At 49.6% G+C, this 27,165-nt stretch overlaps 1 protein-coding gene and 1 long non-coding RNA gene across 2 annotated transcripts in view, besides 3 other annotated features; one reads left to right on the plus strand and one right to left on the minus strand.

The window, feature by feature from the left end:
- GABBR2 (gamma-aminobutyric acid type B receptor subunit 2) overlaps positions 1-23,527 on the minus strand; it is a 420,827-nt gene extending 397,300 nt beyond the window's left edge. Inside the window, exon 1 of the mRNA NM_005458.8 lies at positions 23,009-23,527. Coding sequence (NP_005449.5) covers positions 23,009-23,329 — 321 coding nt within the window. The 5' untranslated portion in view covers positions 23,330-23,527. The remainder of the gene's footprint in view (positions 1-23,008) is intronic.
- Positions 12,126-16,251, plus strand: LOC124902228 (uncharacterized). Its single transcript, XR_007061688.1, has 3 exons — positions 12,126-12,191; positions 15,694-15,803; positions 16,197-16,251. It is a non-coding gene; the product is annotated as an uncharacterized LOC124902228 (long non-coding RNA).
- Positions 21,153-21,724: an enhancer, noted in NCBI's record as "H3K4me1 hESC enhancer chr9:101468843-101469414 (GRCh37/hg19 assembly coordinates)". NCBI's record gives its function as "activates a minimal SCP1, AML or CMV promoter by ChIP-STARR-seq in primed H9 embryonic stem cells {active_cell/tissue: H9 hESC(primed)}" and the evidence as "EXISTENCE:reporter gene assay evidence [ECO:0000049][PMID:30033119]".
- Positions 22,296-22,866: an enhancer, noted in NCBI's record as "H3K27ac-H3K4me1 hESC enhancer chr9:101469986-101470556 (GRCh37/hg19 assembly coordinates)". NCBI's record gives its function as "activates a minimal SCP1, AML or CMV promoter by ChIP-STARR-seq in naive H9 embryonic stem cells {active_cell/tissue: H9 hESC(naive)}" and the evidence as "EXISTENCE:reporter gene assay evidence [ECO:0000049][PMID:30033119]".
- Positions 24,619-24,913: an enhancer, noted in NCBI's record as "tiled region #5777; K562 Activating DNase matched - State 20:ReprD, and HepG2 Activating non-DNase unmatched - State 20:ReprD". NCBI's record gives its function as "activates a minimal TATA promoter and a strong SV40 promoter by Sharpr-MPRA in K562 cells, with weaker activation in HepG2 cells {active_cell/tissue: HepG2 | K562}" and the evidence as "EXISTENCE:reporter gene assay evidence [ECO:0000049][PMID:27701403]".

Raw genomic sequence — 27,165 nt, forward strand, 5'->3', positions numbered from 1 at the left:
TCCTTAATAAACCCCCCTTCATATATACATCTATCCTATTAGTCCTGAACCCTCTAGAGTTCCCTAGAGAATTCTAATATACTTGTTGAATGAATAAGGGCATGAATGATGCTTCAAGCCCTCAGTGCACACCTTCTGATTTAAATTATGAATTATTTCTTTCAGATGTCTATCTCCCCACTAGAATATCAGCTCCAAATGGGCAGGTCTTCTGTTTCTGCATTCTTGGATCTCTTCGTCCCATGACAAACAGTGTCTCCTTGATTAAACTATAGTTTTTGATTTTACTTATTTTATTTTTAAAGACAGGATCTCACTCTGTTGCCCAGGCTGGAGTGCAATGGCACCATCATAGCTTACTGTACTCTCAAAGTCCCAATCTCAAGAGATCCTCCTACGTCAGCCTCCCAAGTAGCTGGGACTACACACACACACACCATCATCCCCAGCTAATTTTTTTTTAAGAGATGAGCTCTCACTCTGTTGCTCAAGCTGTTCTCAAACTCCTGGCCTCAAGCAATCCTCCCGCCTTGGCCTCACAAAGTATCGGGATTACAGGTATGAGCCACTGCACCTAGCCTTGACTAAACTTTAGTCAGGCTCCTCTGATCCTCTTCCCAACTAGGCCTTGACCTTTGGGCTTCCATGTCTTTGCATCATCCAATTTTACCAAGACCCGTGTGAAGCTGTCTTAGCTAGAAACCTTCACCCTTGATATCTGATCAAATCCTCATCCCCCGCCAGCTCCAGGTGATGTCTGATATCTCCCCAGCTGGCCTGCCTTCACCAAGAACCCTGTCTAGTTGGTTCAGCCAGAATCGTCCCTTACCCCTGACATTTCCTCATAATAATTTCCCATCCCTCCCAACCTGCTCTTGGGGTATGGCTCGCCACTGGTCCACGCTGTATTTGGAACTGAGCCCAGTTCTATCTGCACTGGGGTCTCTTTTCCTCTATTGCAATAGTCCCCGAATAAAATCTGTTTTTTTTGTTTTGTTTTGTTTTTGAGATGGAGTCTTTCTCTGTCACCCAGGCTAGAATGCAGTGGGGTGATCTTGGCTCACTGCAACCTTCGCCTCCCAGTTCAAGTGATTCTCCTGCCTCAGCCTCTCGAGTAGCTGGGATTATAGGCATGCACCACCACACCCAGCTAAATTTTGTATTTTTGGTAGAGATGGGGTTTCACCATGTTGGCCATGCTGGTCTCAAACTCCTGACCTCCAGTGGTTCACCCATCTCGGCCTCCCAAAGTGCTGGGATTACAGGCCTGAGCCACTGCACTGGGCCTAAAATCTATTTTTACCTTTTTAACTTCTGTCTGGCTCCGGTTTTCTTTAACAGCCACAAACCCTGCCCCTTGTCCAGGACTCCCAGCTCAGTCAGTGAAGGGTCCACCATCCACAGAGCTTTGGCTCCTTGCTTCCTCCCTGTCACCCCCACAACCCATCAACCAAACACAAGGGTGTCCACAACAGCCCTCCAAGCTCTGCCTCTCCCCAGCCCTGTACTTCCAGCAGAGCCCAGACCACCCTCCCTCAGCAGAGTCAGTGCTTCTAAACAAACAAGACAAAGATCCTCCCTCGACATACTCTGACCTTCCCCTGCACTTTAACCAGGTTTCCTGCCCTGCCTCAACCCACAGACTTCCTTGTCCTCTTGGCCCTCTCCTGCTGAGGGCTGTCAAAGAAGCCAGATCTAGACACTAGTTAAAGCAGTGAAAACAAATTTTATTCAGGATGTTACTGCAACTGGGGGCAAGAGACCTCAGTCTAGACATGGGCTCAGTTCCAAGCAGAATAAGGGCATGTGGGGATTTACAGCCAAGGGGCAGGGTGGGAGGTCACGGACGGAACATTACTATGAGGAAATGTCAGGTGTAAGGGGGAATTCTGGCTGAACCAACCGGACAGGATTCTTGCTGAAGTCAGGCCAGGGAGATCAGACATCACCTGAGGCTTGTGAAGGACGAGGAATTTGATCAGATATCAGGGGTGATCAGATATTCAGGGTGGGGAATTCTCACTCCACTGACTTAGCAGGATTCTTGCTAAAATTGGGTGATGCAAAGATGGACACAGAAGCCCAAAGGTCAGGGCCTGGTTGAGAAGAGGATCAGAGGAGCCTGACTAAAGTTTGGTCAAGGAGAGACTCTGTTGAGGCCAGAGGCCTGCTCTGGGATCTGCTGTTTCCTGCCTGCTCTGGGATCTGCTACCCCATCCCCCAGCCCCCGCTGTGTTCTCCAGCTCCTGACTCTGAGGCTGCCCACCTTGCAATGACTGGATTTCCTACAACCCGGTCTGGCACCATTCCACAGGTCCTTGGCACCACCCACACACAATGTAGAAAGCTTACTGGCTCCACAGGACAGGGGCAATGCTTGGGACCACCTACCAATGCCCAACACAGTGCCTGGCACACAGAGGTCTTGTAATAAACATCTGTAGGAAGGAGGGTGAAGGGGAGGGATCTAAGATGAATCCAAAGCCACCAATGGAAGTGTTTTCTCTCATCTCTGGGCATGTTCGATGGTCTCACTGGGATCACCTTCCCCAGCACATGCCCCAAAGGACACCCCTTCTCAGCAGACCTGGGGGCTCCAGCCTGCCAGGGTAGTCTGAATTTACAGGAACACACACACTGAGCAGCAGACCTCAGCTCCCCTGCCCTCCAGAGATCATAATGAGTCACAGTCAACAAGAGCCTCTGCCTCTTTTCACATCTACTCCCTCTAAGGCTCATTGACTTTGTCTTGTCCTTAAGCAGTTGGTTTTTTGAAACCAAGTGTCCAATGATGCAGTGAATCCTGAAAAAAGAATCTTGGAATCCTGGAGCAATGGGGTGAATGTAACAACAGGAAATTTGTTTTTTGGCTCTGCCACCTCAAATATTTGCTAATCCTCCTATCTCGGCATCATCAGCAAAATTTGATCAGTATGACTTTTATGACCTATCCAAATCACTAATTTAAGAAATAATATGTGGTTTCATATATATATATATATAAAATCTCCAGGCAAAGAACAGAGTCCCATGGACAACCACCACAGATTACTTGCAGATGAATATCTTTTGGGTTTGGAGTTTCAACAATTAACAGATGTGCCTAAATAGACCATCTTTATCTCATTGAAAAATCATTAGATTTTGTCAAATATCTTCAAAGAATTCACATTTGCTAGGACCTAGCTCCCTGATCTAATCAGCCTAGTAATTTTCTCAACAAAGAAAGAGTGGTCAGTCCTGAAGGCCTTGCTCTAAATGAACCCAGGGTGACCCCAGTGATCATCACTTCCTCTCTTAATTGTTCAAAGCACCCTCTGAGCATCCACATTGGAATCATAGCTAGTTATAGTTCCCACTAACCTCCATATCACACTTGTGCAGGCCTCTGTGGACAGCTGGGAGGGGCGTTCCAGGGAAGGGTCCTGGCCAGGTGAGCCAGGCAACACAAGGAGCATCTGCTGGTTCTAGAACAGGAGAGTGCAAAGCGTGATGGAGATAAGAAAGAGCCCGATCTGAGCCAGATATTGATGTTGCCCAACTGTCTCAGAAAAGGAAAGCACGTTCAGGACAGATAAGCCAAAGGCAAGGGCAAACTTCTGGAGGAGGTCACCACTATCATGAAGACTCCGGTTCTAGTCCCAGCCCTATGCCATCCTATTGTATGGCTTTAGCAAGTCAAGCCTCTCTCCTTCTCTGGGCCTCAGTTTTCTCATGTGTAAAATAGAGATAATGATCAGATTATCTATGGGAAGGCAGGTAACTGCACCAGTTGATTTCTTGAGGTCCCTTTGGAAGCCAGACACAAGACAGTGGTGTATAACGTTTAGGGATGTGGGCCCTGGAACCAGACTGCCTCAGTTTGAATCCCAGCTTACTAGACATGTAACTTTAGGCAGGTTATTGAAACTCTCTGTGCCTCAGTTTTCTCATCTGAAAAATGGGGGCAATAACAATGCTTACCTCCTAGGACCTTGGTGAGAAGTAGATGATTTACTACCTATAAAGTCCTTAGAAGAGGCTAAGACTGGGGAATGTGTTTGCTTTGACAATGCTGGCGGTGCTAATAGTAGGATATACTGCATTTTCACTTAGACAAGCTCATGCCTGTGCCTAGTGCATGTAGACAATAACCCAGGATTCCCACATTCCAGGTTTCTGAAGGATCTTGTACAGCTCCAAACAAGAGGAGCTGGACTGCAGAAAGCAGCTTTTGCAGCAAGTAAAAAAGCCAGGATCGTCCTCTATCCCCGACGTCTCTGACCAGCTTTTCTTCAAAAGAGTCAAAATGACAGGGTTTATGGCACGGTTATGTTCTTCCTAACGCTATTATGTCAGTTATCATTACATATACCATACAAAGATCTGAACGCTTTTAAATTGGTTTCTTATACACATCCAAACCACACAAGAAACTCTTTTCAGGATATATTTATCTGTTTTTTCATGTGGGCCTTAAATCTACTCTGACATTCTGACTTCTGACTTCTGACTATAGAGAATGAAAGAGTCCAACTGCCCAATTTCTTCCCTGCAAAGTGACTTAAAAACAAAAATAGATAGCTCAATCTTTCCATCTACTGCCCTATTTCCTCCTAAAACTGAAATGAGACCTACTTTAGTCCCCATTATCGTTGCAACACTGCTTCTTCTGCAGCTTCCATGATTTCCTCCTTCACACGTTCAGACACCTATCACAGCAGGGCTCTCATGGAAACACTCAGCAATCCCAGATATGCCTTTCTTAACTTTGGTCAAGGACTTTCCAGTGTCATTATCTAATTTAAGCATAAAATCACCCTGAGAGAGGTTGGAGCAGGTGCCTTTCCCCATTTTACAGGTGAAGAAACTGAGTCTCAGAGAACCCAAATTTCAGGAACCAGGACCAAGCCTTCCAAGATCCAACCCCGTATTCTGAACACATCCTTCCTTTCCCCAGGGCTCCCCCAAAGCCATTACAGCTCTCTTTTGCTAAACACCTAAAACTGATTTATTTTTGGTATAAATCCAATTTCATCTTTATACATCAGCTTCTTTATCAGTGATTGTGAGAAAACCACTGTATTGCTCTGTTCAGAATCTCTTTCATCCAAATGTGTAGAGAAGGAATAGCCCGCCCTTCTCTGCCCAAAGAAGAAGTCATGTTTGGCAGGTAGCAAGGGGCTGGAACCTGGCAGGTCTCAGAAGGAAAGCCATTCTGCATCTCAGCTGGGAACCAAGACCATGATCCTCTCAAGAGGGGCTGATTAATCCCTAGAATCCAGAATGACAGTGGCCCCCGGAGTGCTGCTGTCCAAACCCAGGACTTAGCCCATCAGGGAATAAAGGAGAAACCCAACCCAGACCAGATACCCTGCCACACTCTGAGAGAGACAGGTCCTAGGGACCAACTGTGTGTGCACCTGCATCAAAAGGGCAACTTCCTCTGCAGCCAGACTGGCTGCCCATCAGCCAGAGGGACAGCCTGGGGAAGTCAGCACCAGCCTTCTGCCCTGTGACTGCACAGCCAGGCCTGCCAACCTGGCCTCTCACTGCTGAGTTCCACAACAGTTATATCAGCACAGATCACTGCTACTCACTGCTTCCCTTCATCAAGAAAGCCATTAAGAGAAACATAAAGTTGATTGCATCTATTATGTCCACCTACAGACTCAACTTAGAGTAAGCTTTAAAATCCCTCCTGGGCCCTCTTCAAGACCCTGAGTCATTTTTTGATTGTTAAAATTAGAATGATCTGAGGGCAGACTCACTCCCAAATCTAAGTGATGTCAAACAAGGATGGGTCCCATTCCCATTCAGTGTTATCAGGCATCCGTGGAGTGCCTAGCTCCAGCTGGGGTGTTTGAGAATACATACTCTCATCCTAGCCTCACGGACAAACCCTGCAAGGCAGGTAAACTCATCTCCCTGTTGCACAGGGGGAATGACAGGCTCGATGAGTTACAGGGCTTGTCACCCCTAGGAAGTGACAAAGCCAGGGTTTAACTCCAAGTCAGCCTAATCCACCTTTCTTGCCCTGTGTCCTAGTCTTTGCAATGTCCCTGGAGGTGACCTTGCCCAGCTCTCCGTTGACTGGGGGGTTGTGTTCTCCAGCCTTGGCCAATAGGAAACTCTTTGCCGACAGCAAGGCTAGAAGCCAGGACTTTGCGGAGGCCCTTGGTGAGCACTGATTGATTAAGAAATGTGCTTTCAGACACTGCGGGCCCAAAGGTGACTGTTTCCCAGGCCGTTCAGCTCTCTGTCCACAGTGTCTCTTGCGGTCAGTCACCTATGTGCTGGCCACATCTGAATGGCTCAGCATTATCCCCTCAAAGTCCTACCTTCCAAGCTTTGCTTGCACAATTCCCTCCTCCCACAGGGTACTTCCCACATCTTCTACCTCCTGTCCTTCAAGGCCAGCTCAAAGGTTGCTTGCAGTGAAAGGCCCTTCCAGGTTCCACCCTGTGAGAATTCAATTCACCACCTCCTCTTTGTGCTGCTGGAGTTCTTACTGGAGCCTCTGCTAAGAGGATCTTCAAATCTCCCTCACAGCATTTTTGTATTTGACACTATTATGACACTTACTATGTATCAGGCAGTGGCTGAAGTCTTCAGCAGTCACTGATAACTATCAGTTTTGGTAGCCGTCCTGTGAAGCAGGTACTATTATTATCACCCCATTGTACAGAGAAGAACACTGAGGCACAGGGAGATAAAGTGGCTTGCCCAAAACTAACACAGCTAGTAAGTGCTCTTACCAGGGTCACTTGCTTGCATGTGAGTGGCCTACATTGTCCTGTGAGCTCCCTAAGGGCAGAGGTCACACCCGAGTCAAGTTTGGATGGCCCAGGGCGTGGCAGGAGGCAGGTGCTCCAAGCTTGCTCCTGAATGGAACTCAGTGTCCAGCATGAGGTCACCTCCCCTGTGTGGCAAGCTGTGGTGGCCAGCAGTATGGATATTAGTCCACCCAACATCCAGCCACTCTGAGCGCCTCCCTGGGCCACCTTTAGTCTTTCTTGAAGTGCTTAGGAGGATGAAATAGAAAGTGCATTCTCGTCCATGAAGCCAACAGTGTCTACACATACAGCTCACCATCTATAACCTTCTACTCTCTCCGGGGCTTGGCCTAAGGGCCTTCGGGAACAGCCATGATAGGTGACTCCCGGGAGTCTGGCTGGATCCTGGGACCCCAAACAGCAGGACCACAGACCCCATCTGGCTGGACTGTAGCATGCCTGGCCGCTGTGGGTGGTGCCAAGGGCACTGGGCTCAGAGTCGGGCCAACTTAGACTCGCTGCCTCACACCCCAGCTCACCATGCAGATCCACAGTTTCTCCAGGTATGAATGGGACTAAGGGCAAGAATTCTTCTTTAGTTGTTTAGTTGTTAAAATAATACCAACAACTAAACAATGAGAATTACAAATGCTGTGCAGTGCTAGAGTTGACTATTTCTTCCAAATGCCTCATTCAGTAACACCCTGGTAACAGAGGAACCATTTTATAAGAACTAAATGAGACACCAACTGCCCTTCAGACTTAACCGGGTCGATACAAATGACATATTCCTTGGAATGCTCAAAGAAGAGATGGGGGTAGGGCAGTCTGGGCTTTCTCTTGGCAATACTTGGCCCAGTTCTCCCTCGACCCCCGGCGTGGCCTATGTTGATAGATCAGCGAGTGTTCCTCACCCGGACACCTCGAGGTTCCTCAATCCCAGCCTCTAAGCCAGGCTTAGCTGCCACCCTCAGCTCCCTTCAGCTCTGCCTTGCTACCATGGCCTCATCAGAAGCCTGAGGTCTCCTCTGAAACCAGGATGAGGTCCTGCCCCCTGATGAGGTCAATCTTGGGACAGAGGCCCCCATTCTCCAGGGCCACCCACTCAGGGCCAAAACAGAAAGTGAGGGTTTCAGTCCCGGGCATTGAGCAGTTTCCATGTGCACTGATCTACACAGATGCCATTCCCGGGCCCCTCCATGTCCTCAGGTGGTAGCAGGGGGCTCCAGTATCAGCTATATCTCTAAACTAGCCTTGCCCTCAGCAGCCCATGCTCTGGCCCCCACTCAAAGCAAGGTCTCCCTTGCAGATCATTTTGCCTTTCCTGCCAGCAGGCCCCACTACATCCTAACAGTTTCAACCCCAGAGGCTGGGAGTCACTCTCATTCCTTTCCCTCCCAGAGGACCCACTGTTCTTTAGACAACATGGCCATTGATCCTCAATGACTTGAAAGCTTCCTAAGGGGAGGGGCTTTAGAATGTCATCTGAATACGGAGCCAGACCAGAGCTCAGAGCTGACCCTGGGCCTCTCCATCTCACAAGTTTTAAGCTCTTTCTACTACACCTTGCCACTATCCAGGTGCACATATGAAAGCAGCCATGCAGTGCCCAGCACATAGTAGGGATTCAATAAGGACCTGTCCCTGTCATTTTGTTTTCTCCATTGTGGACACAAGGTTGGAATTAGGGCCTTCCAGGCCACAGCATGCAGAGAATTCTGAGCAGCCAGGTCAAAGCCCATCTGATGGTTAAAAACCCAGTGTCCAAAGGAGCCTGGCTGCTCTCCTTTTGAGGAGGAGGTAGCCAGCTAGCAACTGTTGCCCCCAAACTCTCAAGCCAGATTCATCATTTCCACACTGCCTGGCCCAGAACCCTGAGATCTCCACCAAATACTTGTATATCTCCTTGGAGAAGTCAAAGCTCTTTCTGGAGAAAATGAAAACGCCCAGCACACAGGCATTCCAGCCGCCCACTCCTGGGCTGCAGTGGACTGGCCCAGTCTGGGTATTTCATATTTTAAGCTGGTGGGCTAGGCTCTCCCCCAGCCACCCAACTAGCAACCCCCCATGATTTGAGGTCTAGGCCCCGCTGATGGCCAGGATCCCAAATTGATGCTTACAGAAGACAGCCCTCACTAACTTTCATGCTCCCAAGTTTCTGCCCTGAGACCCCTGATCAATAGCCTGGCAGTGGATGGCCTTGGGCCTGACACCTGCCAAAGACAGATGATTGGTTTTTGAAGACATTTGACAGTTGAGAGGAAACACGTTAACTACCTCTTGTTCTAGATTCTTCGGTAAGACAGCCTGCTAGGGTCACAGAACCTCAGTTCCCTGAAGAACTGCTTTCAGAGTGTTATAATCTAATACTGTGTCCTCCTTTATTAGGGGGTTAAATGATCACTCACATGAATGACATCGCTATGTCTTCTATAAAGATGTTATTGGAAATATCCAATGGTCCTGAGAGAATGGCCCAGAATTAATTACTCTTTGTGTTTAGTTTCGGGCGTATTTTATATCTGCACCACTTTACAGCTTCTTAAAGCCCTTTCACATTAATCTTATTTCTCTCCCTTCCTCTCTCTCTTTCTCCGATCTCTATAATAACTCTATGAAAAAGCAGAGCAGACATTACTATTCTCATTTTATAGGTGATAAAACTAAGGTGCAGAGAAGTTAAATGACTAGCTCAAGGTCATCCATTAGAGAGCATCAGCATTGGGTCACCCATGTAGAATCCAGAGCTCTTTCCACTGAACTGCCCTGCCTCTAACCTAAAAGATTTGTCTCTGGAGCCTAAAAGGAAATGTGTCCTCATCACACAGGAACATCAGAGCATCTCTCTCTTGCCTTCAAATCCAGTGTTCAACTGGAACAATCCATTCCTCACAGATGCCTGATAACATCTTCTCTGTTCCACTTAGGGGCCCAGTTCTGATTTTTATCCAAAATTGTTCTGTTTTACCTTGTGTTTAGCATCACTCATGCGAAACACATTTGCAAGGCACCAGGGGCTGTGCTGGGTGCTCCAGACACAGAGACCTTCATTCACTCACAAATATTCTGGAGTACCTGCAGGCTCTGTCCTGGGCTTTGGGGCATGGCAGACACCAAACAGATGCTGTGCCTGTCCTCATGGACTGGCCCAGCTCATAGCCTGGCGGGGCAGTGAACAATAACCAGTAGTGATTATAAAGCAGAGTTATAAAGACTTCACTGGAGACACCAGCCCCAAGGGCCAGTGGATGGTTCACCACTGAGCTCTCAGCGCACCTCAAATCCTTCCAGAAATGGATGGGGCTTAAAAACACCCCTTAACTTAAAAATCCCATTCAGTGAAGCTCAGACACAGATCACAACTTCTTCATTGGCCTCAAACACACAGTCCCCCACTGAAATAAGAACGAGTTTTTATGCTGCTACACAGCATTTCACATTTTCATATGCATTATAATAAAATGATAACAGTAAAACTTAGTATAAAATCTAGTCAGTGTGGATCCCTGTGCTCAATGCTTTACATGAATGTTCCAGGTCAACCCTCAAAATAACTCTCTCACAGAGTATCATCCCCATCTCACGGACAAGGACTCTGGGGCTCAGGGGACAGGCAGTGTCAGCATGCACACACAGGTTGACCGATGCCCAGTGTCTTTCTACAGTGTCCAGCTGTCTCCCCCACACCCCACAGGCACTGAAAAACAAACTAGCATGCCATTTATAAACATCAAGATTGGCCTCAGAATCCTCCAGCCTTCACTCAGTCTCCAAATAGTTACTGAGCACCTACTATGTGCTAGAAAGTGTGCTGGACATTATGGTGAGCCAAAACAAACCAGTTCTTGCACTCATGGAGTTCACAGTCCCCTTGTGAAGCAGGAGGGAGACCAATAGGGATCAAATAATCCAACAAAAGTTAACTTGCGGCTGTGATAAGCAGTAGAAAGGAAAGTTCATGGTTCTTAGAGAAAACGTGATAGTGGATTTTGCCTAATCGGGGAGGACAGAGAATGCACACTTGATCTAGGATTTAAAAGATGAAGAAAGGTGGCAAGAACATTCCAGGCCACAGTAACAGCTTGTGCAAAGGCCCTGTGCAGGGAGGAGCACACTCATCCAAGACACAGAGAGGACCATGTGGCTGGGCCTGAAGAAGAGAGGGAGAGTGCTCAGCAGCAATGCTGGGAGTGGGCAGGGCAGACTCCAGAGGGCTTGCAAAGCTGTGGGAGAAGCTGTGTTCCCACCCCAAGAACAATGGTGAGTCCCTGCAGGGTATCAAGCTGGGAGGCCGCTGGACTGGTTTGCTGGGTCAGTGGTCTTAATTGTCTTCTGTACCTGGGGGTGCCCATCCACACCATCACACTCCTCATGCTGCATGGTAACGATCCCTGGGCCTCCTCCCCCACGTGCCTTTGAAAGCACAGCTATTTTGGAGTTATCTCCCTACACTGTGTAACAAACCCAGAGCCTGGCACCAAGTAGGTGCTTAGCAAGTATAGCCTAAATTCATAAAGGAAGCACCACTATTACCCTTGAGATGATCCGAGTCTATCAGGAGACACACTCAGACATAAACACTGCCATCCTGAGTAAACACAACCGAAGGTGACAAGTTCTGCAAGCGACAAGTTCTCCAGGTGCCAGGGGATAGAGAGCAGATCTGTGTGAGTCAGGTGTGTGGACAGACATTTAAAGTGAGTAGAAAGTGCAGGGTTGGCTGTATATGACTGAGTGGGTGGACAGAGAAATGGGAGAGGGTGGGGTTGAATCCGAGGGAGAGGCAAGCAGTTGGGGGTGAAATTTGCAAGCAAAAAAAGCATTGCCGCTTGTTTTTATCGGAGAAAAAAAACTTGCCGCTTGCTTTTATGGGAGGAAAATAACTATATGAAGATGGTGGTTTACTCAGAGCGTAAGCTGCAGAGATCAAAGTCAGACCATCCAGACTTCAAATCCCAGCTCGACACTTGGTTGGTTGTGATGTTAAATACGTCACATAAGCTCTCTAAGCCTCATCTGTAAAATGCAGACAATAAGAGCAAGGACCGCCGGGCGCGGTGGCTTACGCCTGTAATCCTAGCACTTTGGGAGGCCGAGGCAAGCAGATCACGAGGTCAGGAGATGGAGACCATCCTGGCTAACACGGTGAAACCTCGTCTCTACTAAAACTACAAAAAATTAGCCGGGCGTGGTGGCGGGCGCCTGTAGTCCCAGCTACTCGGAAGGCGGAGGCAGGAGAATGGCGTGAACACGGGAGGCGGAGTTTGCAGTGAGCGGAGATGGCGCCACTGCACTCCAGCCTGGGCGACAGAGCGACACTCCGTCTCAAAAAAAAAAAAAAGAGTAAGGACTTCATAGGACTGTAGTGAAGACGAAATGAATGAATGCTGCAAAGCACTGACATAGGTGCCGACATATAGTAAGCACTGGATAAAGGTGAGCTACTGTTGTTCTAGTTTCTTTTTCTTCATCTACCCACCTGCAACTAAATGTTCCTATTTCCTTTTCCTTTGATTATGACCATGACATTTAGAAGCTCTCCAAGGGCTTCCCAAAGTTTCTAGAATTCCCAGAGTCCAGGAAGGACCTCTGAAGGGTTACTTGGGCTCCAGAGGATGCTTTGTGGAGTGACAACCAAGCCAACTCTCCCTTCCATCAAAGCCAAGGCACTCTCAGCTGGACTGGGCGGGGGCATTCGCATGGGCTCTGGTCATCTGCCCCAGAGTGGGCATGCGGGTCCCCATCTGCCACTTACATCCCTGAAACAACTCTGGGCATTTTTCAGAAAGGCTTCAGTGAATGGTAGTTCTAGAAACAAGACGATTTGGATAATACAGTGATGATTATTATAAGTATGGCTGTTGCTTTCAAAATCAGTTTTCTCTGAACAAAGTCAAGTGGATCATAAGAAGAGTGTGAAAAATATCATTTTTCTCTGTGCCACCTCCTGACCCTGTACCATGAGAGCAGCAATAATGCATCACTCCACAAAGTCCTTCTTTGGCTAGATTTTATCTGAACAGTGACTGATGATGTCCTTGCCAAATGGCAGGAGAAGGGGGTCTGCTTCCGCCAGCAGCTGTGGAACACGGGCATTGATGAAGACAGATGAGTCCACGCACTCAATACTTTGGATCTACCACTAATTTTCTAGATGACAATGACACTTCATCCTTCCAGCAATGCAGACTACTCTAAAAAAATCAGAAAGGTAGAAAATCGGCAAAAGAATGCCCCCATCAGCCCAAAAAAGTGTTCAATATTCATTCACACAGGCAAGAATTTTCAGACTCTTAAACTCCAGCTCATAACCAATGTACTCTTACTTTATGCACAATTCTTTTTTTTTTTTTTGAGATGGAGTCTCATTCTGTCACCCAGGCTGGAGAGCAGTGGTGTGATCTCAGCTCACTGCAACCTCCACCTCCCAGGTTCAAGCGATTTTCCTGCCTCAGCCTCCTGAGTAGCTGGGATTACAGGTGCGTGCCACCACACCCAGCTAATTTTTGTATTTTTAGTAGAGACGGGGTTTCACCATGTTGGTCAGGCTGGTCTCGAACTCCTGACCTCGTGATCCACCCGCTTCGGCCTCCCAAAGTGCTGGGATTACAGGCATGAGCCACTGCACCCAGCCTTTACTCACAATCTTGGTTATCTAGTTTGGGGTCCAGACCTATTCTGTCACCATCAGGGAGACGGTCCCTTTCAAGCTGAGCATACCCAGTTCCTGAGTTAGTCCTGGCCATAGAAGAATAAAGAGCAGAAGCTTCTGACCCAGGAGCAGGGAGCCTGGAAGAAGCCTTGCTATTAGGGGATTCCAGGGAACATATTTTCTCACTATGCCCAGATCTGCACTGGACCACCTGACTCACCAAGGCTGATGAACTGGCTTCATTCCCACAATTTCTGCCAGGACCAGAGCCCAATCTAGCCTCCTTTGGCTCTCGTGCTCTCTGGAGGCGAGAGTGAGATATCAGAACATGTTTCCTAAGTCCTCCGTCCACTGGTTAGCGTATTGCTCCAATAAACTGACCTCCTAAAACCATAATGCTTCTCAGAAGCCGGAAAGTATTTATTTCCTAGGTTTTGATGTACCTTGGAGGATGGTGCATATATTTGTCAGAGACGAAGAAAATGACATCAGCTTTGCACCAAATCTTCTATTGGAACACCCAAGCACCCTTTCCCCTTTTACACCACAACTACAGAGCCCCCAAAAGCACTAAATAATAAGAACCCGAAAGAATGAATAAAGAGCAAGCAGAAAGCTCACCCTCACATGGCTTGGCATACAAAGCACTTACTCCATTTGTTAAAACTCTGCCCATTAATCCTCTTAGAACTGGAGAGCTGGAATCCAGGCTTTTAGATCTATTTGTTCGATAAATATTTATTGAGCTCCTGCTCTGTGCCTGGCCCTGAGATAGTGCCTAGGGGGACCACAGAGGAGCCAGACACACCCAGTGCCTGCCCTTTTGGTGCTAACAGTGGAGTGGGGATCCTCGATTAGTGCTGCAATTCACAGAGAACAGCAAAGACTTCCCTGTGGTCTCAGCAACTAACCCAGCACCAAACCCAGATGCTGACCCTATCTGGGGCTCATACACTCACGGTTTCAGCCTGGCTCCTCTGTGCATCCCTAGAAAGCCAGGTACAGACAGGAAGGCATTTCACCAGCCTCACTGTGCACTGTTACATAACGCTAGAGAAGAAGAAGAAAAGAAAGTAATAGAATGCAGCTGCTTACTGGGCAAACTATGCCATTTAATTTCCTCACCTTCCTAAAACCAAAATAAGTAACAAAAAAGTTAGAGATAAGAAGTCACTTACATTTTACTCCCAAACAACATGGAGGATGACCAACCAGGTGCCTGGAGAAGGGGAATGCCTTCCCTTCCCCCACATCCTCTGCTAACCCCTCCTGTGGCTGGGCTATACCACGTGTAATTGTTTTTGTCTATCTTGATCACCTGTTGGACAGTGAGCTCCTCAAGGGCAGGATCTGTGTTTCATCCAGCTCTGTATCCCAGAGCCTAGAATAGGGCCAGGTGTAGTAAGTAGTAGGGCATTGTAGAAGAAACAGGCAGTGTCTGTGGCAGCCAACCAAGTAGGCCCCACCCTCCTTTAAAGAGAGAACCTACAGGAGGAGATGCAATCAGCTAATGGTCATCAGCTGCAACACCTTTAAGACCTGCCACAGCCTTCAAGCTAAGAGCAAAATCTCCCAAGGCAGACCTCAGCCAATCACTGAGTTGGGTGGGGATTCTAGAGCCTGGCTCATTGGGTCTGATAGGAAACTCATGTAATGGATAATCTTGGCTCTGGAGCTCTTCCTACCCGACTCTCCTTCCTTCCCCGTCTCCTTCCACAGGTGTCAGAACAGCATCATGGACAGAGCATTTCCCTACCTATTCTTTTATCTTTCACAGGGATGGCTTCCAAGATCTCTTATGCTTACAAGTCTATCTTGGCATCTCCTTCCTGAAGGACCCCAATTGACAAGTGTCCATGGCATCCATATGCTCCTTATGTTTCCCAGCCTCCTCTGTAGTTAGGCTGGCCATTGACTATTTCTGGCCAGTGGAATATGGGTAGAAATAATATGTGTCACTTGCAAGTGAAGGTGGTTAAAAGTCCAGTGTGCCTTCCCTCTGGATTCTTCCCTATCCCCATCTTCCTGAAGCCTTAAGATGGGAGACTCACAATACAAAAGTGGCCTGGCTCCTCGCGTTACCACCTGGAGGAGAGCCACCCAGGACGACCTCTGACACACTGGACTTTGTGTGGGCAATAAATAATCTTACTGTGTTAAGCAATTGAGATTTCAGGATTTGTTTGTTAGTGCAGCATAGCCTCACCCACCCTAACTAACAAAAGACATATATCCTAGATACTATCCATTTAGTACCCCTGTTGGATCGTTATCTTGTGCTTCCAGCTTGCTAATTTCCCTGCTGACATCTCAGACCTCTGTATGAAGAAGTTGATGTTACTCTGCCCACAGGGAAGGAAAGTCAAATACACAAAGAAGGTCCCTTTAAAGATAAAGTGAGTATGCTAACATTCTTAGCCCAATATCAAACATTAAACAGGCCCTTAGTGTATTAGTTCCACCCACCACCCCAACTCAGTCTTTAAAAAGGAATTTGGGGACAGAGAAGTTATGTCCGTGGGTGCCTGGCTAGGTGTGAGGAATTTCTGGGGCGCTCATATTGCCCTCATATTGGGGAGCTCGGGGTTTGGTGCTGGTAGGCACATGCAGAGGGCAGCTACAGCTCAGCAGTTTGCTTAGCCCTGATATGTAGTGCCACCTCAGTCCTTAAATGAGGGAGGAAGACCCTGGGGAAGGGACAAGACCAACCATCCCAGAGGGTGCTAACTCAGAAAGCAGACTCGAATCGATGCACCTCCAGTTCAGCTCCTCACCATTTACTCATGCAGGCTGCTCATTAAGCTCCATAAGGCCCTGAGGGATGAGACTGACCCTACCCTCAAGAGCTGCCAGCCAGCAGGGGAGAAAGTGACAAACAACTATGATACCGGCAGAAGGAAAGACACGCCGGGAGACACACATGAATAAAGGCCACAGTGTCTGCACCCTCTTCTGCCAGCAGGCCTTCTCTGCAACACAGCACCAGAAAACAAGGGACCCGTCACACTGCTTTGTATTTACTTTAGGCTTTGAGCTGCCCCACCCATTAGACTTATTCCTTATAACAGCCCTGTGAGGTCAGCACAATGATCCCCAGATTGTACGGAAATAATAACAATGGGAACAACAGAGCAGCGATATTTCCTGAGCACTCGCAGTGTGCCGATCATTGATTGGATTATGTCACCTGGATCATCTCATTTGTCCCTTATGCACCTGATAAGGCAGTTAGTGTATCAGCCCCATTTCATCGATGAAGAAACCGAGGCAAACAGACCTCCCCAAGGTCACCAAGCAGGTGAGTGGTGCCCAAATGAGGATACAAACCCAGGTCTCCTGACCCTAGGGCCAGGGCTTATTGGACAGGTGTGAGGTGAGCACGTGGCCTCACCCCTGCAGGGACCCTCTCTCCTTGTCCCCCTAGGGTGCATCTAATTCCAGTGACTGTTCTGCCAATGACACACCCCCTCCCCAGACATTGGTTCCCTCTCTGTTGCCCCTCCTGCCCTGTCGGGTCTCAGTGCTGCCCGTTCTTCACAACACCCTCTCCTGCCTCCCTGTCTCCATTCAGGCCCCATCACCGCTCCCTTCAACTGTTAAAGTAGCTTCCCAGCCCCTCCGACTCCAGGCTCATTCTGTCTCCAGTCCAGCCTCTACATGCTCACCAGCCTTGATAGGATCACACCCATGTTCAAAGACATCGCACGGCTCCTTGCAGCTCCAGATTAAAGTCCCACCTTCCGGACACAGCATTCAAGGCCGTCCACGCCCAGCACCAGCTACCTTTTCCCTCTACAAACCCTGCATTTCCAAACACACTGCACACTTTTTTGCTTCATCTTTGATCTGGAGACCCTTCCTGGTATCCAATGTCCATTTCCCAGAGCCTCTGCCTCTCTCTGTCAACTTTATATTCACTCTTCCAGGCTTATCTTCTCCAGGAGGTCTCTCTGGTCCTATATGATCTTCCCTTTCTCTTAATGCCCCTGGCTTCTATTGTTTCTTTCTTCAATTTAGCACTCCTCAACTGCCTGCCTTTGTGGCTATTTGTGATCAGACCCACTGGCATACCAACCCTTAATGGCCTCTGATTTCCTTGGAGGAATCACCTCTCCCCAACTCTGTGTTCAGGTGGTTGGGTGAAGCTGACCTCACCTCCCTCTCTCATCATGAAAGGAGGGCAGAAGTTCTAGGCCTGTCCCATCAGGGTCATGTGACTTGTTCGTGGATAAACACATGACCCAATTCAAGCCAATGAGATATAAACTTGAGACTTTCGCTGAAACAGTTGGGAAAGAAACACTCTTCTTACTGGAGTTTCTAAACTGGAAGTGTGTAAACCTGCAGCTTCTAGAGGCCATCTGTGCCACCACATGGGGAGAGCCTGCCTGAGAGTGAAGCCAACACAGAAGAAATCAAAGCCAAGAGGCAGAGAGGAAGATATTTTTAAAGATATCATTTGAGCCCCTGGATTTGACCATGCCTGCATACAGCACACCTTAGGTTTTTTCAGTTATATGAACCTGTTAAAGTTGGCTTTCTGTCATTTGCATCAAGAGTACTAAACAACACACTTACTAAGGGCCAGGCAGCATGCTGGGCAGTGGGGGTGCAGCTGCAAAGAAGATGTAAACCTGAACCTGAAAGAGCTCACGTTCTTTTTAAAATTTTTAAATTTTATTTCGTTTTATTTTTGAGACAGAGTCTTGCTCTGTTGCCCAGGCTAGAGTGCAGCAGCACAATCACAGCTTACTGTAGCCTTTACCTCCTAGGCTCTAGCAATCCTCCTGCCTCAACCTCCCTAGTGGCTGGGACCACAGGCACATACCACCATGTCAGGCTAATTTTTTATTTTATGTAGAGACAGGGTCTCCCTATGTTGCTCAGGCTGGTCTTGAACTCCTTGGCCTCAAGCAATCCTCTCACCTCAGCACCCCCAAAATGCTGAGATTACAGGCATGAGCCACCACACTCAGTCTATCTTTTTATTTTTAAATAAAAATAAATTTATTTTTTAATAAAATTAAAAATTTATATTTTATTGTATTGAGATTTAGTTAACTGTATTGAGATTTAATACAGTTAAATCTGTACTGAGATTTAATTAACTTATACACTTTAAAAGAGTGATTTATATATATATATATAAAGTGTATAATTCCATGGTTTTTAGTACATTCACAGAATTATGCAACCATCTCCACTATCATTCTCTACCTTGCATTAGAAATGATGAATACGTTCTTGCCCTGTTCTCTGTTCACCAGCTGCCTCTCTCAAACCCGGGGCTATGTTTTACACCTTTCTGCAGCATCAACAGCTCCAGTAGGTGCTCAGTAAACACCTGCTGAGCTGTACTCAGACCTTTTTAGGAAGCACAGCCTCAATTCAACAGTCCTTTAAATCCTTTTTAAAGCATAGTGAATAAGGGAAAAGATATTTGGCAAAGCCACTCAAGAAAAAAGACATGCTCAACAATCACTGGGATTTCTACATTGGATCTTGGCATCAGGGTGGTCTTTCTGACAGTTGTACCCCTAGACTGGGCTCCTTGGCTCCCTGAACTTTCTCTAAGTTTATTATTGAATGATTTAAGATAGTAACACATGAGAAAACATATAGGTCCAACAATAGGGGAATGATTAAATACGTATGGTTCACCCACAGGATAGAATAGTATACAGCCACCAAAAATCATCTTTACAAGGAGGATTTGAGGACATGGGGAAAAACCCATGATACAATGTTAACTGAAGGAAAAAAACATAAAAGAGCACATGGAGTATGATCTCAAGTACATAAAATAGTAAAAAATGACAACTGGAAGGGAATGATGCTAATTATTAGATGTTATTATTTTTGTGTAGATGGATTATGGGCAATTATTTTTCTTTATGCTTCTCTGTAATTTTCAGCTTTTCCACAATGAACATTAATCAAATTGAAAAAAAATATCTTTAACTCATTCCTTGGCTATTATTTTATTTTATTAGTGTGGCTAGAATAAGAAACAATCACATGGAGAACATTTCTGAAGACAGGAAGATCACTTGAGCCCAGGAGTTCAAGGCTGCAGTGAGCTATGATGTACCACTGCAGTCTGGCTTGAGCAAGAGAATGAGACCCCCAACTCTTTCAAAAAAAAAAAAAAAAGTCATTGTCTCTCAGATTTTTTAGATCAAACATTAAGTAATATGGTACATTTACCTTTTTACCTTGACTGCCAGGAAGCTCAGAGCTAAAATATAATACTCAATGCAATAAATTTTAGCCCAGGTTCTTGGTATAGTAACTTCTATGCTTCTACATAGTTTCTGATGCTTTCTTTTATCTGTATTTTCAGTTGTCTTGCTTGTTCAAATCCTCATTGGAATATATAAACGAGTATTTGCTGAAGCCATTTGGTGTTACACCAGAGAAGCAGAGGTTCTGATAGACAGGTATTCTGTTAGGCTGTTTCATTTTTACCAACACATGGCATTGAGTGAGGTTTTGAAAATCTACCACTATTCTACTTACAGAAGAGAGTCAATCTGGTTGTAGGAGGCTCCTTTATTGAGACAGATTGTCCCCAGGGACCAGATTAACCCATTCCTTGCTAAATCTCCATCTCTCTGCAGATCATATGGATAAAGGTCCATACTGGTGCCCATAGTCACTGGCCATTGAGGCCACTGATTGACAGCAAATGTCAGCAAATCCAGCCAAAATCTGTTCACCACATCCACCCTGTGTTAAAGTCTACAAACAATGTGACACAGCCTGCAAATAATTAGGCAGTGTCCACAAAGACAGCCAATCTGAATAAACTAGACCCTAAACACTCTAACACTAGCCACAAACATTCTTTAGATCGCTCTAGATTTTGCTGCAAATTACCTAGACTGATCCTTCCTTCACTCTGGCTCAGGGAGAAAGCACCTCTACTTTAAAGATAAGGCCACTTGTGAATTCACAGGAAATAAAAATGAAGGAAGGGAGCTGGGCACGGTGGCTCATGCCTGTAATCCCAGCACTTTGGGAGGCAGAGGTGGGCAGATCACCTGAGGTCGGGAGTTCAAGACCAGCCCGACCAACATGGAGAAACCCCATCTCTACTAAAAATACAAAATTAGCTGGGCATGGTGGCACATGCCTGTAATCCCAGCTACACGGGAGGCTGAGGCAGGAGAATCACTTGACCCTGGGAGGTGGAGGTTGCGGTGAGCCAAGATCACGCCAATGCACTCCAGCCTGGGCAACAAGAGCAAAACTCTATCTCAAAAAAACAAAAACAAAACAAAACAAAAAAAACAAAAAAAAAAAAAAAAAGAAGGAGGAGGAGGAGGGGAGGCAGCAGGACACATTTATTTAGTGCTTACAGCATGCCAGAGCACTGGCCGCTGAGCCTGCCAGCTCAGGGCATCTTCTACCCTGGCCTGTTATCTTCCTTAAGCTGTGTGTCACCTGCAGAGTACACATAATATTCCCACCTAGGCTTAGAGAGATTAAATACCCAGCTCAAGGTCATCCAGGGTGGAAAGTAACCAGTTTCTCACTAAAACCCAGGCCCCACCTACCCCAAAGCCCTGGCTCTGGGCCCCTTCAAAAGGCTAGAGACACTTCTCTGTTTGCACGAAGCTAAAATTATCTTCTGTCTTCCTTCCCACTGTTTTCTAAATATTCCCACGAATTGAAGAGTCTTCTGACTGTCTCATCCTCTTGACTTTGGGTCCTTTCACTCAGAAAGTCATCAAGACACACTCGAAAAATAAAATGTAAAGGCTTCAACCCACACCCTGAAACGAAGCACCCATCTCTTTGCTGCCACAAACAGGCCAGTATGAAATCTCTTTCAGGGAAGCTTTCTAAAGGGAAGAAACTGATGATGAAAACATTATGCAGCTGACAATACTTGGTGATGATGCAAGCAGGGCTGCCCTATCTAAAAATGTGTTTGTCCCCAAAAGACCGGCTTTGCAGTGACCCCTCCAGAAGAATATGTGCAGTAGCAACAGAGAAACTGTCAAGAAGATATGCCTCCGTGTAACTGCATTGCTGTCTCCATTTATGTGTGCCAGACAAGTACCCCCACAGAACTTGAGATGCTCAGGCAAAGACGAGGGCGATAGGAATGTCATTCGGAAATGATTTCACACCGGGTTAGCCCTGCACAGCCAGCCAGCTTGCATCCTCTGGGGCAGAGGACGCCTCTCCGCCTGCAGCAGCCTGCGCGTACCGCTGCCAACTGCCACCGGTTCCTTCACCTTTTATTTACAGCGCAGAGCAAGCTGGTTCACCGGTGAAGCGGGGGAGGCAGGGAATAAGATACAATCTAGATTCTGCTCTTTCTCTGGGGACATAAAGAGGGTCCGACCAAGGAGGAGGGGAAGCCCAGATTGCACCACCAGAGCAGTAGCGCGACCCTCCTCCCAAAAGGGTTCTGCACCTGGACTCCAGCAGAAGCGCCCGGAGAGTCCCAGGAAGCCAGGATCAAGCCCAGCGCCTCGGCCCCGTTCCGCGCGATGGAAGAGGCGCCAACCGAGCGTACTGCACAGGAAATCACTGCCCCCTTCAGGCCGCGTCTCAGACGCTGCGGTCGGAGCACAGGGGCTCGCTCGGTCCGGAAAAACTCGCAAACCCGACCTTGCGCGGCCAGCGATCGCTCCTCCAGACCCGCTCCGCGCGCTCCAGCCCCGGCCTGGCGGTGAAGGTCCGCTCTGGGGCTTCAGGCAGAACCCAAACCGAGGGCGTGGGGAGGGGTCTTGGGATGGAAAGCCCTTGGCTCTCTGGCTCCGCTCCGGACTGCTCTCCAAGTCTGTGCTCCGGCTGCTAGGTCGGATGCTTCAAGCCTGAGCCGTGAGAAACTGCCTGCAGCCGCCCGGCCAACAGCAGCGGCGCGGCCGGACACCACTGCACGTCCGGGACGAGAACTGCCAGGGCACTTTCTGAGCAACTAACCCGAGGCAGGGGTCTCCTGAAATCGCTCTGGCCACAGGCAGCGCCGGGCACGTCCAGGCAGAAGCGCTGCAGAGCCGGTGGCCCCACACTTGCCCGCGCGGAGCGGGCTCAGAGCTGCTGGCGCGCACCAGGCGCCCAGCCACGCTGCACGCTCAAGCCCCTTGGGTTCCGGAGCCTTCCGGACCTCAAAGCGCGGCTCGGCTTCCCTGGGGGCCTGTGAGCAGGCCCGCGGCCCCTCCGGCCCTGGGTGGCCCAGTTTGCAGTCAATGCGCCTGTTCCTCCCACTCGGTACCTCGCAGCCCCATGAGCGGGACCTGGACAGGGACAATCAATGTAGGCCTTTGGGGGTCCAGCCCCCACCTTCTCCACTCCTTTTTCTCTGGTCAAAAGAGACCCCAGTCTTCTATCCCACCCCCACCCCTCCCCACACACACATACACACATAAGACCAGAGGAGGGGGTGCTTGGCAAATGTTACCAGCTGTGCCAGCCAAGCCCAGCAGGACCGCGGGGGTGAACACTGGGCACCAGCCCTCTCTGCCCTCGGCAGGCGCGGGCCGGTCAATCGGGGATCTGACCAAAGGCCGGAGGTTGCCTGTGTCCAAACCACCCACCCCAATGCCCCCCGAAGCCCCGACGGCAGGGGCAGCCGGACACTCACCTCCGTGTCATAGAGCCGCAGGTCGAGGAAGTAGGGGCGCAGGAGTGACTCGTTGCGGATCTGCTCGATGGCCAGTTCCACGGCGGGGAGCACACCGCGCCCGATGCTGCCCTTGGCCACCTCCTTGGTGAGCGGCATGAGGCCCATGATGGAGAGCGGCGGGCTGCTGGGCGGCGGCCGGGGGGCGCCCCGCGCCCAGCCCCAGGCCCCGGGCGCCAGAGGCAGCAGCAGCGGCAGCAGCAGTAGCAGTAGCAGGCGCGCGGGCGGCGGTGGCGGCGGCGGCGGCGGCCCGGGCTGCCCGGAGCTCCGCGGGGAAGCCATGCCGCGCCGCGGGCTGCGGGCGCCGGCTCACTCGGCCCGCATGGCCTGGCCCGGCCCGCCGCCCCGCGCCAAGGTCTTCCCGCGGCGCCCGCGCAATGGCGCCGGCCCGGGCCCCGGCTCCGTCTCGGGCTAGGGTTCCGGCTCGGCTCAGAACGGCCGCGGCGGCGGCGGCGGCAGCGGCGGCGCCCGTGACGGATCAATCACGCCGGGAAGGGGTGGGAGCGAGCGGAGTGCGGGAGGCGGGGAGCAAGCGAGCAAACGCGGAGAGGGGGGCCGGCGTCTCCGCGCGCGCCTCTCTCCAGCGCGGCCGCCCCGCACCGGGCCGCCTCCGCCCGCCCCCGTGCGCGCTCTGAACCGCTCTCCCGCCGGGAGCTGCTAGGCGGCAGCCCCTGGAGCTCGGCCGGGGGAGGGCGGACGGCAGGAAACGCGGGAGGCGAAGGCGAGGCTGCTCAGGGGCGGCTCGGGCCGCCTCCAGGGACGGGGACGAGCCGTGCGCGCCGGGGGAGGGGGAGGCGCTGGCGCTGCGGCGGCCGCGGGGAGGGCCACCTTCCCAGCACACGCACACACGCGCCCCCGGCCCTCCGCTGCGCCAGCTGCCGCTGCCCGCCGACCGCTGACCTCCAGGCACCAGAGCGCCCGGGGACAGCGATCTGGGAACCGGGACCGCGCGCTGGCACACGCAGTGGCCGCCGCCGCTCCGCCGAGCGCTGCCTGTAGCACCTGCACGGTGGTTTGGAACCGCTTCTCGGAGGTCTGGCCGGGAAGGTCTGGGCAGGAGAATGTTCCACGAAGGCGTCCCAGAGGCATCTGCAGCCTACGCTCTCCCGTTCTTTTCTGGCGCCCACGAGCCCCTGACCGAGTCCCGGGGGTCGCTGAAGACGCCCACGGGTGCTCGAACGCCCGTTGGTGCCAGGCTGCCCGGCCTTTAGGGCCTTGGCTGAGGACACCCCTTTCCTCCCCACCAGACGGAGCGACCGCCCTTTGCCAACCCCAAGCAAAGCTGGGGTCCCAACCTTACGTGCGCTACCGCCCCCTCCAGGCATTTGACCTCCCCGCGTCCCCATTCTTGATGGGCCCCGCCCTAGAAGTCTCCCGGGGTGGGAGCACTATCCTCAGGCCAGGGCGGGGCCGCGCGCCCCTGGACTTGGCCCTCTCTCTGCCAGGTCGCACTGGCCAATCTTAGCCAAAGCAGTCCCGAGCCAGATGTACCCGAGTGAGCTGACCTAAGACCTTGGGTTCCTTGTGCCTCTGCATACTTCAAGAATAGGAAACGTGATCATTAATCTATAAAGTCCCAGGGGCTGATTAATGCGAGGAACACAGTAGGACATCAAATCACAAAACATACTTGAGCCTGAACCAGGGACTGTGGAAGATATCGACGACCTTGTAACAAGAATGGAAGTTTGACCTTCGCTGAGTACTTACTGTGTGCCTTATGATGTAATCCCCACAACTGCCCTGTAAGCATACTGTGTTACTCACCCTTACTTTACAGGCGAATACACTGGTGCTCAGAGAGGTTCTGTAGCTAGTGGAAGCACACAGAGCTACTGAAGGACCGGAACCCAGAGCCAGCAGGAACTCCGTGCACAGTGCAGTGGGAGCCAGGGATGTGGGACTGCAAGTTTCCTCTCCAGGAGGAGCACTGCCCTGACTCAGTTGCTCTGGACATCGATTCCCTCCGGCATATGGTGAGGGATTTGGACCGGATGATGATGATGATGGCCACACACCAGCTCTACTGGAGTGAGGCAAGGGCAGCTCTGAATCCAGGCTGAGTTGTTAGGAAGCACAAAGATGTGAGTGGAGGCTGAGCAGAACTACTAGAGAGTACCTTGGACAGCGCCAGGGAAACCAGGCCAAATTCTCTCTGCCCTAACTTCTCTTTCCAGGCTTCTATAGACTCCACCTCTCCCGGCTCCACTTGGCATTTCCTTTTCCCCAAGCTGGAGGGTTTGCATGAACAGAACTCACCTGAGCATCTCCTCCAGGAAGGGAGGAAGGAAGGGAGGGAGGGAAAGAAATGGTCCAAAGGACAGTGTAATCCCCAGATACTCGCTCAACTGCTGTCTCACTTGACATCACAAATATCCTCCAGTCATAGTCTTCTGGCACCTGCCATTCCTCAAACCCTTAGCTCAGGTTTCTGAATGAACATTTTCACTTGGTTTTTTTCTTTTTTCTAATTCTTTCCTTTAGTCATTTGTGTCCTCCTTGCAAGCTGTGCCAATATAGAGTGTCCACTGACACCTACATCTGGGAATAAGTTGAAAGCTGGGTAACTTTGCCTGACATTTACTAAGGGGTTGAAGGCCCTACCTGGCATCCTGCCCTACAGCCCCTCTGTCTTCTTTTATGGTGGGGTGACCTGGCCCCAAGACGCATGACCTGGGATCTGCCCTGACCCAGGGGGCACCAATCTCACTCTCCATCAGCATGGCTCCAGGCCAATCTCTGATCTCACAGCCCACTCCTAATGCCTGGGCATCCCTCTGGTTCCAAGATCTTACTCTGGCCTGGTATTACAGTTTGGGTAACTGCATCCCTGATGTGCTTCCTGAGTCTGAGTTCCTGCCTCAGTCACCAGCCTAGAATGCATGTTCCTCCAGAGCTGGGGTCCAGCGTCTTGCTTTATAATAATCATTCATTCCTTTGACCAGTGTTTTGAAGGGCATGCTACCTGCTAGGCACTGTCCTAGGAGCTGATGATATAGGAAGGAAAAAACCAGAACAAAATCCCTGCCCTTGTAGAATTGACATTCTAGTGGAGAAAGAGAAACAATAAATAGGAAGAAGAAGATATGTTAGTATGCCCATTTATGAAAAGTGCTATGGTGAACAAAAAAGCAGGAAAGAGGATTGAGACTGGCAGAGTGGGGCTGCAATTTGAAATAGGGAGGTCAGGGAAAGACACACTAAGGTGACTCCTCAGCAAAGACATAAAGAAGGTAAGTAAGAGAGACAGGCGAATAGTGTTCCATGCAGAGGAACAGCAAGGGCAGAGGCTCCGAGACAGGAGTGTGCCTGGCATGTTCAAGGAACAATGTGGAAGCCAATGTGGTAGAGCAGAGTGGGCAAAGGGAAAGCAATCAGATCCAAGGTCAAAGGCAGGTAGGACTGTATGGGGCCTCAGCACTGGGAGGGCACATGAAACAGCAACCGTGGGAGGCTACTGGGTGGAGCAGTGACATGATCTGATGTATTTTAAGAGGATCACTCTGGCTGTAGAGTGAAGAACCGTTAGCAGGGGAAAAGAGCGTGAGCAGGAATACCTGTTAGGAGTCTCTACTACAATAAGCACATTTGGTGGCCAGGCCAGGGTATAAGCAGAAGAGAGGATGAGAATTGGCTAATCATTGTGCTTCTTATTAATTGGAATAAAATGCATTGGCCAAGTCCCAGAATGTGGAAAACACTTGATTCCCTTGAACTCATCTACCTTTTAAGAGATGTAATAGAGACTTAGAAAGCAACGTGCTCAGGTTGCACCTCCAGGAAGTAATGAAACATCCGTGTTAGCCCAGGTCTGTATGGCTTAAATTATTATCTTGTTTGCATAATCCTGTTTCCTTAGCAATCTTTTCTCACAAACCCTCTGCCTACACACAGAAGCCAGTCTCTAAACCCCAGCTCAGAGGTTGAGAGATGGTGCCCGCTTCCTTTCTGGGGATTTTGGGGCTCCATGGTCCAGCTGGCTCCCTGTCAACATGACACTCCATCCCTTTGAACAGGATCCTGATGCTGGGAAGCTAACCAGGCCTTTCTCTGCTGTCTGCTCTCCTTCCTTATTGGGCTGACACCCTGTGCCACCCAGGGCTGCTCAGATCTGCCCT

This window comes from Homo sapiens, chromosome 9 (genome assembly GCF_000001405.40).
Source record: "Homo sapiens chromosome 9, GRCh38.p14 Primary Assembly".
NCBI classification, from domain to species: Eukaryota; Metazoa; Chordata; class Mammalia; order Primates; family Hominidae; genus Homo; species Homo sapiens.